This window comes from Homo sapiens, chromosome 2 (genome assembly GCF_000001405.40).
Source record: "Homo sapiens chromosome 2, GRCh38.p14 Primary Assembly".
NCBI lineage: Eukaryota > Metazoa > Chordata > Mammalia > Primates > Hominidae > Homo > Homo sapiens.
Window position 1 is genome coordinate 126,533,754 of NC_000002.12, and position 12,494 is coordinate 126,546,247.

The 12,494-nt window shown below is 37.0% G+C and overlaps 1 long non-coding RNA gene across 1 annotated transcript in view; it reads right to left on the reverse strand.

The window, feature by feature from the left end:
- Nucleotides 1-2,001: 2,001 nt before the first annotated feature.
- LOC105373602 (uncharacterized) overlaps nucleotides 2,002-12,494 on the reverse strand; it is a 98,601-nt gene continuing 88,108 nt past the window's right edge. Inside the window, exon 3 of the long non-coding RNA XR_001739693.1 lies at nucleotides 2,002-2,764. This is a non-coding gene — a long non-coding RNA (uncharacterized LOC105373602). The remainder of the gene's footprint in view (nucleotides 2,765-12,494) is intronic.

Sequence of the window (12,494 nt, forward strand, 5' to 3'; positions counted from 1 at the left end):
ATGAGCTCAGAGGCTGAGGCATTTGGCAGAAGCCACATCAGTGTAGGGCCTTAGAAGCCAAGCCATGTCAGATTTTGGCCTTGATCTTAAATAAATAAAAAGTGATTTAAGGATTTGGGTAAGGAGGTAAGGAGGAAATCGATTTATTTTCTAAAAAGACAGTGTCAGGGAGGAAAGCCTACTCCATCCTCCTAGGGTTCCTGATTAGGTCTAAAAATAAAACCGGCAAAGACAGATGGATAGGAGAAAGCACACAAATTTATTGAATAAAAGTTTTACATGACATGGGAGCCTTCAGAAATGAAGATCCAAAGACTCAGGAACAACTGTCTATTTTTGTGCTTAGGTTTGATGGAGAACAGACGGCCATGTAGAAATGTGGTTGGACCAAAGGGTATGATCTAATGGTGAGAGACTGAAGCGGGGAAAACCTAGCTAGACCTGTCTTTCAGATTCTTCTTGGCCTCTCTGTGTGGCATTCCTTTCCCCTGGGTGTAGGGCAGGACCTCTGGAATGAGGGTCTTATGATCTACTTTCAAACAAAGTAGGTCAGAGAATTTCTTTATAGCCAGCTCCTACACAGAAAGGCAGAGGAAGGTCAGAGTAGTATTTCTAGGTTTTATGGCTTGCTTTAGGGAAGGAGAATTCTAGTTTCTAGGTCTGCCTTGGGGGAGAAACAGGAACAAGAGAAAGGAGGGTGGGAGAAGGTTGAAAGACCTTGCTTCTAAGGCCCTTTCAATCTACTTCCGTTGAAAGCACTCAGCATGCCAAGGTGCCATAGTTTGGGGTATCATGTTCTGACCCCAGCAACGGCTCAGACTACTGCACAGGAAACAGGTACAGAGAGGGAAGTGGATTGCAGGGGTTTCAGTTGGAAAGACGTGACAGTGGTTAAGGAGAGGAAAAGGGGGGCCTGGACTCTTCCCTGAAAGGGCTGTGAATTGGGTGTAGCTCAATGTCACTTACAGAAAGAGCCCTCATGGTAGCATTCTGTGTGACGTCAAGCCCCGCATCCTGTAGACCAGTGAGTGGGTCCACAGGAAGTCCCTGAGGTGTTCTGAGAGCAATACATTTACAAAACCTTGGGGCAAAGCCAGAAGGACAGTCGGGGGCTATAGGAATGGATAAGACTTGTGGACATGCTTAGGCACAAGAGCTTTTTAGAGGATTAAATGAGAAGAAGCATATTAACTCTTTTGTCTAAGACACAGAATATTTTTAAAAGCTCTTCAAATACTGGCTAGCATTGCTTGATTCCACCCCCTGTTCTATGACCTGCATCGTGGCTCTCAGCTCCATGAAAGGAAAGGTGAGCCTCGTATGTAGCTTTTTCTCCAGCATTAAGCACAGTTTCTGGTATACATACATCAGGTTATCTGTGAGTCCTTGTTGATTAAGTTAAAGTAGTAGATTAAAAACTTTCCCAAGATAGGAATTCTGGCTTCAGAACCTCCTGTTTCCCTTATGACACACTAAGGTGCCCGGAAAAATCAAATCCAACAAATGTTTAAGATTGATCCTAGAATTTCTAAAGAATGGGTCTTACTCCAACTCAAGGTCTGAGAAAACCCAAGGAAAGGCCTCCCACAGGAGTGTAGACCCAAAGAAGTGGCTTCTTGACCAGGGCACAGTAGGAAAAGGCTGCCCAATGTGGCTGCTGAGGAAAGAGCCACAAATGACCACAAAGGCAGGGCACAGCATCTATTGTGAAAGCCCAGCCAAGGACAAAGCAGGGAGGACTGAAAACCAGGCTGGAAGCTTAATGAGCTGACTAGCAGTGTGGAATGCGAGTGAAGAATGGGGCAAGCAAGTGGTTACGAACTAAGACCATGAGGACGCAGCAAGCCTGGCCCTGCCACAGTTGAGTCATGACCATCGTCCCGGGCAGAGGAGACTTGCAGTCAGAAGAAACCGTGCAGGGAAGATCTCCAGAGAAACATCCTGGGTGCAGTGCTGAAAGGGGACAGCACTACAGGAAAACATCCAGGAGAATGTCCAGAAGATGGTATAATAGAGGAGGAGAAGGAGAGAGAAAGCTTCAGGGAGTCAGTACTCAGAAGCAGCCCCCTGTGGTGGGAAAAACACGGGCCCTGGGTCAAACCAGAGACCAATTCCCTGGAGCCACATGGAGTCTCCAAATTGTGGGGGACCATGAATGCTTTCTCACCAAGATGATCTGACTATGAAATGAGATGAAGTACATAAAGCACCTTGCACAGTGCATGGCCCACTCGAGATGTGTTCCCTGAAGTCATGCATTTAATACATATTTAATGAGCACCTACTATGTACCAGGCAGTGTCCTGAGAACTAAAGGTGCAGTAGTGAATGAAACAAAATCTCTGTCTTCAGGAAGCTTATATTTGAGAGGAAATGGCAAAAGATAGATAAACAAATACATTTACTAGTTAGAGGCAGGGAGCAAAAAGAGCCATAAAAATATAAGACAATGTAAGTGTGCTTAGATAGAATGGTCTTCAAGTGGTATTTGAACAGATATCTAAGTGAGGTGAGTGAGGGGGCCATGCACAGATCTGGGGGAAGAATGTTTTAGGCAAAGAGAACAGCAAGAGTAGAGATCCTGAGATGGGATGTGCTTGGTGGGTTCAAGAGGTAGTAGATTCTTTTTCTTCTCATTCTGTTCCTTCAGGGCAGCTTGACACATGACATCTGTGGACATTCCAATCCTCAGTCCTGAAGCTGTATCAGTCATTCTTTGAGAGATGTATTCCATATTCATTCCTTCATCTGCACATCTCCCAATCTGTAAGCAGAGTGTTCACATCATTTAGAGAGATAAGATTCAGTCACAGAACTAATGTGTCCCTAGGCCCAATGGTGGCCCCCAGCCCCTGGACCCCTAGATTTTTAGATCTCACACACTACTCAGAGTACCTTTCAATGCATGTGACAGCAGGGCACATGCTCAGGAGGGAGTGAGACTACTCACAAAGAGTGAGTGATGGAAGATAGAAAGAAGGTGGAGAAAGGGGCAGAGAGGTCCATGAACACACCCCCTTCTCATTTCTGAATAGAAAATAGAGGCTTGGATTGTACCTCCTAGACAGGCTCTCCCCAGGGCTGCTTAATGGAGAAGGCAGGTGGGAGTGGAAAGGCAGGGGGAGGTCTGGGACATTTTCTTTTGCTTTGTTGGCTTTGTAAAGCTAAAAAAAAAATCCACCAACTGTGATTCTAGTCCTGATTGCAAAACATTCTGTTATTTAGCTCTGGGGCTGCAGTTAGCAGATTGTCAGTTTGGCCTCACAGTGAAGCAGCAGCCAAAAAAGATGAGATATTTTAATTTCCTGAGCAGGTGCAGATATCAGGATTGGTTTCAGAATACCTGTGAAAAATGAAATAGAGGTGGGGAAGGAAAGCAAGAACTGATGTGATGTGGGCTGGGGGTTGGAGGTACCCAGAGAAGGAAGAGAGAGATGAAGCAAAAATGAGGAGAATACAAGCATGTGAGAGGAAACACCATGAGAAACAGAAGCAGGGAGACAGGGAGATGTTGGTCAAAGGGTAGAAGGTATCAGTTAGATGTAAAAATAAGCTTTTGAGTTATACTGTGCAGTGTAGTAACTGTCATGAATAATAATGTATTGTGTATTTCAAAATTGCTAGGACAGTAATTTTAAATGTTCTCACCACAAAAAAATGATGAGCATGAGAGGTGATAGATATGTTAATTTACTTGATTTAATTATTCTATGATGTATACATATATCAAAATATCACATTTTACCTCTAAAACAATTATAATTTTTCAATTAAAAATAAAAATACATTTTAAAATACAGTAATTTTTAAAAAGAAACAGAAAAAAGGAGGCAGCCAGAAGAAGCCTGATGACCTTAGAAAAATTACTAAAAATTTTGGGCTCAAAGTGGGAAGGGTTGTTCCATGCATTTGCTCCCTGGCCGGTTCAATCCTCTGTATTGTCAAGGTCGGCACCAACTCGCAAAGTGCCTTTCTGAAAATCTGAAGGACACCACTCCCTGTAGGCACGGCCCCTGCCCTAACTGTCCTCAGCAAGCCCAGCCTGGGCTGTCTTTCACCCATGCACACGCCTTTGTGCAAATCACCACCTGCACCCCCCACCTGGCGATCCTGTTCCTATGATAAAATTGATTTTCAGTAAGGCAGCAAGACTTTGAAGTGTTGGGAAACAGACAATATTGAGAAAGAAGGGGGCAGAGAGTGTGAGAAGTAGCAGGTAGAATAACACAGCCCAAAATGCATGGCTACAAAGTTGTCAAACAGCCTAAGGCAGGCACCAAGGCCACATCTCAAAGGGAATAGTCAATCTCCTAAAATAGAGCCATTAATAAGGTAGAAAGAGGCAGGGCACCTGCCCAGATCCCACACTCTGATTGCCTTCCCACCACTCTCTCAGCCTCACACATTCAATAAATGAATGCATGCCTTTACTAGCATGTAAATCCTTTCCTAGCCTATCCCAGTCTATCAGTGATGATGGGAATGAGAAGGAATAGGAGAGAATGTAAAGACTATCTTATATGTGCCTGAGGTCTGTGTTTGCATTAATTCACTCAGCAAGCATTTATATAGTGTGCGGTAGGTGCTAAATAGTCCTCTAGGTACTGGCCATGTAACAGCATCAAGATAATCGGATTCCTTTCCTCAGGAGACTGATGTGATGATATAGGAGATAACAAAAAGGGACTAAATAAAATGGTTAAAAGCATGGGTAGGCATGGTGATAATAACAATGTGGTTCATGCCTCAAGATTGTGTAATGATTAAATTAAAGGATACGTGTAGTGTGGCTCAGTGTGTGGCTCTGAGTGGGTGCTCCGCGACACTAATTATCTTTCAATATTTCTTTCTCTCCAACCCCAAACTCTAGTAATGGGAAGAAACTAGCAGTTTCCAATGTACAAATCTAGAAGAGTGTTGCTTGCACTGTTACAACAAGAAAAATGTTCATAAGACTTCAAATTCATGACTGTCCTTGAGCTCATTAAAGAACTGAGATGATAAGACAAAACTAATGGAGAATTTGGAGGGTAAGTCACTGGCAGAGAGAAACAAGACCCAACAAGATACCTCTGAATGCCAGTAAGACAAATTAGCAAGAACATTTTAATAAATTACTAAAATCTGAGCATGGCCTAGTGTGACAGTGTGAAACCCCCACAGGCCACAGACAGAGAGAGGTGCACACCCTCTGGCAGGCTTTTCCTCCGGGATCTCAGGACTTGCTCCCAGAGAAAGTCAGGCAGAATCCTGAGAATGCTTCCCTTTCGAGATTGCTGGTGGATGCAGGATACAGGAGTCATTATTGAGATCTGCCCACACCCATTTGCCTATTTTCTCTACAGAACAAAAATCTTAATAAATCTTGATTAATTAAAAGGCAACAAAAATAGTTGCCTGTAGGCACTGGAGAAAACCCTCATCAGCTGGGAGAAGGGACCAGGAAAAAAAAAAACTACTTATGGAAGAGGGACAGGAATACATGCTATAGCCACCAGCTTCTGGGAAATGGATGGAAAAACTTGAAAAAGCCACACCCTCAGGAACCAGATTCACAGTGACTGCCCAGAGCAAAGGCTTAGTCATAACATCAGACAAGGTATCACCTTTGCCTCTCACATCGTACTAACAAGCACTGAGTGCACACGAAGGAAAATAGAACTGAGCGCCATGAGAGAAAAATATCCTCTCTGCTATGCAGCACATAGTGAAAATACAAAGCTAAACATGTAGACCTAGAGCCACAATTGGGGTCAGCATTGAGAAAAAATGCTGTGGTTTATTAGCTCACACACCAACTGCATTTTACTGGTGGAACGTGAAGCCCCTGGTGCACTGAGGGCAACAAAAGAAACAACAAATATCAAACCAAGCCCAACTCCCAACTAGATTAACACAACCCACTCCACATTGAAAACCTAGCAGACAAAGTTGTACCCACCTTCCAACATTAAAACATTGTCTTAGGTATACGATACGTCTGACTTTGAAAAACAACAGAAACAACAGGTTAAGGTACATGCCAGAAGGCAAGAAAAAGCAAGAGGTAAAGCGATAGTCAGAACCAGACTCGCCTGATGAGACACAAACTTTTGCAGACTTTTCCTCTATTAATCTCTTCAGACTCTATAGGAAAAGGAAGATCCAGCTCTGTCAGTAAAAACAACATAAAAGTCAAATAGAGAATTTCAGTAAAGAGACAAAAGCTATAAGAAAGAATCAAATGAAAACGTTAACAATCTAAAACACAGTCATGGAGATGAAAAATGACTTAAACAGGCCAATCAGTACACTCAACATAGCTAAGGAAACTGTCAACAAACTGAAAAAGTTGAATGGAAACTACTCAACTAAAAAAAAGTGAAAAATGAGAAAAAGAAAAGAACAATAGCAATGACAAAACAATAGAACATCAAGGGCTATGAACCACATTAAAAGATCTACTCATCAGAACCTCATAAAGAGAAGAGAGACTGTGAAAGAAGAAATATTGAAGAAATATTTCCCAAGATTTTTCCAAAGTTAGTGACAGACACCAAACCACAGACCCTAAGAGCTCACAGAGAGCAAACAGCATAAAAACCAAATAAGCCACAACTAGGCAAATGATATTCAAACTGCTGCAAACTGAAGACAAAAGAAAATCTTGAAGACAGATAGAGAAAAAAGGCACATTACCTACAGAGGAAAATAAAATTAATTATTTCAGACTTATCATTAGTAACCATGCAAGCAAGAAGCCAATGGCACATCTTCAAAGTCTGGGAGAAATAAACTGCCAAACCATAATTCTATACTCAATGAAAATAAACTTCAAAAGTGAAGAAGAAATAATTATTTCTCAGATAAATAGAAACTGAGGTAATTCATTGCCAACTGACATACTTTATAAGCAACATTGAAAAAAAAAAACTTCAAGCAGAAACATGGAAATACACAAGGAAATAAATAGTATAAGGAATGGAATAAATGGAGATGAAATAAGTTTTTTCTTACTTTACATTTCCTTGAAAGATAACTAATGTTTAAAGTAAATAGTGGAAGTGAATTATGTATTTATGATATATATAATATAAAAGTTAAATATACAAGAACAAAGTTATAAGAAGTAGATGAGAGGAATTGGGAATATAGTGATATAAGATGGTCTAATTATATGGTAAATTGCATAATATTATTTGGGGGGTAGAATAGCATTATTTTAAATATATAATGCAATTTTTAGAAAGGAGCATAAGTCAATAGAAGACATAAAATTTTAAAAATGCTCAAATGAGTCCAAGGAAGGAAGAAATAAAAGAAAAATAAACAAAGAACAAATGGAACCAATAGAAAATATATGCAAAGATGATAGGTTTAATTAGGCATAAAAATAATCACTTTAAAATTAGTGATTTCAATATGCTATTTAAAAGATACATTATTAGATTAGATTATTTTAAAAAAGAAACCTCATGTATCTGTATCTATATCTATCTGTTATCTATCTATCTACATAGTCTACAAGAAACACACTTTAAATATAGAAAGTAAGAGACAAAAATAAACAGAATTGGCAGGAGTTATAGAGAGAAAACTGCAAGTAAATCTTAGAAATAAGAGAAAGCAAGACAAGCTAGACCCTAGAATAGCATGCGACTATCACTTGTATCACTTCTCTGCTAAAATTATTTAACAGATTGCTAAATTCCATATAAAATGTAGAAAATTAGAAAAAGCATCATTCTTATCATCATTTTTTGCCAAAGAAAAACCTGAAAAATGTGAAAATTTGCAATTTATTTTTAATCCATCAGAGAGCCAAGGTCACAGGACAACGAGTTAACTTGAAAGCTAAAGAAAGACAGGAACCTTCAAATAGAAACAGGATGTAATCACTTACTTACCTGAGGCGGACACTGCTAGACACCAGAAATAATAATTCAGCTAATGATTTTAATGAATTGTTTGATACAGTGCATGGGCTAGTGAGAGAATATAGAATCCCTAGGTTCTGTAAACACAAGAGGTATTTATACCCACTTGAAGGCTCTCCTTCATGATTCTAACTGAATGCTCACCAAAAAAAAAAAAAAAGAATAAATAAATAAATAAAATAAATGGGAGAAGGAGGAGTGCAGAAAAATCATCCCTCATGGCACAGGCCTTGGGTAGGGGAATAGAAGTAGTCATGAGAAAGGCACAAATACCTGTCTACATCCCCTATTCCTCTTACAGTACAAAGATTGAACTATACTGGAAGGGAAAAAATAAATAAATAAAACTCTTGACATTATCAAATTATAGAAAGCCTAGTACAGGTGGGAGTAGAGAGTGAAAAACAATCTTCTATCATAAAAGAAGTAAAGAAATAAGTGCTAGACCCAGCCATAAAACTGAGAGTACAAAAGGATCATTGAGAAGGCACAAATCCCAAGAACCATGGAGACAGCATGTTCCTAATACTAAGGCGATAATTTCCACCACAACACCACATCAAACTAACAAAAATGAAGCAACAAGTAATATTGATATAATGCTGGCATAAAGCAAAAAGGATGTACACTTGCTTTTTTTTTTCTGAGATACAGCATAAAAGAAATAACTAAAAGTGAAAGTTGAACAGACTTAGAGAAAAATCATCTGGCAAACCAGGGCCCTGCCCCACTGAAGAATGTGCGAAAAGAGTTTCAAGGCTGTAGCACAGTGTAAGTAACCATAGCAACAACAAATTTCAACCCAGTTCAGCTCATGAATAGACTTGGCCCCTTACATAAAAGGTCTAGCATAAGGAGAGACATGCCAGTTTTTAGGTATAAACATGATTTATCTTATTCTCTACAGAACTATACAAGATATCCAACTTTCAGCAAAAAAGTATGAGGCATAAAAACAACCAAGGGAAAAAAAATACAATATCAAGAGATTAAGAAACCAACACACCAAAAGAGATATGACACTAATGTTAGAAATATCATAAAGGAAATTTAAATAACTAAGATTTATATGTTAAAAGCCCTAAGGAAAAAGTATTTCACAACAAATAACAGGTGGGTTACATAAGCCGAGAGATAAAACTCTAAAGAATGAACCAAAGGAAATTCTAGAAGTTAAAGAAAGTATTTTATAGTGTCATTAGTAGATTTGGGACAGATAAGGAAATAATCAGTAAAACTGAGTATCCAGCAATAGAAATGATACAAATAGAAACACAAAAAAAAACAGAAAAAAAAATAAAAGTACAGACCATCCAAAAGTGATGGGATAGTATGTCAAATGATGTAACATATGTGTAATTGGAATCTAAGTAGGGGAAGATAGTGAAGAAATATTTGAAGAAATAATCAAACATTTTCCAAAATTATGACCAAACCATAGATCTAAAATGCTCGGAGAATAATAAGCCAATAAAGAACAAAATAAAAACATGCTTAAACAGAAAACATCTACACATATTATTTTCAAACTACTGAAAACTCAATACAGATAAAATCTAAAAAGCAGTCATAGAAAATAAAAACATTACCTACAGATAAACAAGGAAAAGAATTACAGCTGACTTACCTTCAGGAACTATGCAAGCCAGAGGAAAATGGAGGGACATCTCTAAAGTGTCAAAAGGGCGAAAATGTTAATTCAGAATTCTATATCTAGCCAAGATGTCTTTTAATTCAGAAAGAAAAATAAACATTTCCACAGTAAAACAAAAGTGAAAGACTTCGTTGCTCTTAGACCTGTGGCTACAAGAAATATGCAAGGAAGTTCTTCAATCAACAACAATTACAATACTACAGATAATTTAGATCTATACAAATTGGTGTATGATGCTATAAATAAAATAAACGAAGATAAATATAAAATTTATTTTGTTCTTAACAACTCTAAAAAACAACTGACAGCCTAAAGCCAAAATAGTAGCAATGTATTTTGTGATTATAACATCTGTAAAAGTAAAAAGGTATGACAAAAATAGCATAAAGGATATGATTTAAGAATTGAGAGTATATTAGTAAAAGATATGTTGCACAACAAATAAGATGGCATAATATTTTTGAAGGTATACTCCAATTACCTAAATTTTAAACCCTAGGTAAATTTTTAAAACAATTTCAAAAGGATATATAAATATTAAGCCAATAATGGATATAAAATTGAATCATAAAAATAAGCAATCTAAACAAAGGCAAAAAGGGGAAAAAGAAAACAAAATACAATAAAAAATTAGAAGAAGATGTTAACATATTAATTTAACCTATATCTTATTAAGATATAATAAGGTAGAAGGTTTTAATCCAAATTTATCAATAATTACATTAAATAGAAATGGTATAAGCAATTTATTTAAAAAGAGACTGGTAAAATGAATTGACAAAAGACTAACTGTCTGCAACAAACACATTTTAAATATAAATACAAAAATACGTTAAAAATATAAGTATAGAAAGATAGGTACCATGTAAAAAGTAACCAGAAGAAAGCTGGAGAAGCTAGAGAAGCTATATTAATATTTAAGAATATTAACAAAGGTAAAGAGGACCACTATGTAATCACAGAGAGGTTAATTATCAAAGAAATATAAACGTCCTAAACGTCTGTATACCTAAAAAGAAGATTTTAATATGGATTAGGCAAAAACTGATAGATCTGAAAGGAGAAGCAAACAAATCCACACATATTAGTGGAGATTCTGATACTTATATCTCAGAATATAAGTACACTTATATATACTTATTCTGATACTTATAAAATCAAGTAGACAGAAAATCTGTAAGAATATAGATAGAGGAAGATAGATCAGATGGCCAGAACAGCACTGGCAATCAACTTGAATTAACTGATATTTACAGAACATCCTCCAAAAAGCAGAATACAATTTTTTTCAAGATCACATGGAACATTCCCCAGTTTACACCATAATCTGGGCACAAAAAAAGCAAATCTTAACAAATTGGATGAAATTTAAATTGTACAAAATATGTTCATATATTATAGAATTAAGAAGAAATCAAGGTATCTTCAAATATTTGAAAATTAAATAGTACATTTCTAGCCAATGGCTCAAAGAACAAATTACAAGAAAAATTAGAAAATGGTTTAAAATGAATGAAAATGAAAATAAAATATAACAAAATGCATGCTGCATGGAATGCTGCTGAAACAGTCGTTGGAGAAAATTTTATAGCATTAAGTCTTCATATTATAAAAGAAAAGATCCCAAATCAATGATTAGGGTACCTTAAGAAACTTTGAAAAATCAAATTAAATTGAAAATAAGCAGAAGAAAGTAAATAATAACAATATTACCACAAATTGATGAAATTGAGAACTTTCTTTCTTCCCTAAAATAGAGATAATCAATAAAACCAAGAGCAGGACCTTTGAAAAAAAATAATTACATTGATAAACCTCTACCTAGACTAACCAAAAATAAAGAAAACATGAATTTAAAGTATCAGAAATGAAAGAAGCACATCATGGCAAATTCTACAGACCAACTAAAAAGGATAACGAACTACTACAAACTCTATGCTCATGAATTTGACATGTTAAATGAACTGGAAAAGTGCTTTGAAATACTAAACTCATTCAAGAAGACACAAACATCTTGGATAGTAAAATATTTATTAAAGAAATTAAATAGGCTGGGAGTGGTGGTTTGCACATGAAACCCCAGCAATTTGGGAGGCCAAGGTGGGAGGATCACTTGAGCCCAGGGGTTTGAGATCATCCTGGTCCACATAGCAAGACCCCATTGTTACAAATAATAAAAATATTAGCTGAGTGTGGTGGCATGTGCCTGTGGTCCCAGTCACTCCAGAGGCTGAGGTGGGGGATGCTTGGGCCTGGGAGGTTGAGGCTACAGTGAGCCATGTTTGCATCACTGTACTCCAGCCTGAGTGACAGCAAGACTCTGTCTTTAAAAAAAAAAAAAAGGAAAGAAAAGAAAAAAATTACATTTATAGGAAAGACATTCAGCAAAGAAAATTTCACAGACTGTTAGTTTTACTGTTGAATTCTTCCACACATTTAAGAAGTAAAAAGTACAAATCCTATGAAAATATTTCAGAATATATAAAGTAAGGGCCGTTTCACAACTATTTTATTAGCTCATTTGGTATTACGTTACCAAGATACCAAATGAGACAATGACAGTACAAGAAAAAGAAAACTAAAGAATAGTATCCCACATGAACATTAGTGCAAAAATTCTCGACAACATACTAGCAAACCAATTTCAACAATTCATAAAAGGGATAATACATCATCACCAAGTGTGACTTATGAATGTAAGTCTGGATCAACATGCAAAATTAGATCAATGTAATTCACCCTGTTAACAGAAAAATAAACCAATAGATCTATAGATATAGAAAAAGTCTTTGACAACATACACATCCATTTGTGATAAAAACTCTAAGCATACTGGGAATAAAAGGGATCTTCCTCAACTTCCTAAAGAACATCTACAAAATAACCTACACTTAAAGTCATACACAATGATGAAGTATTAAATG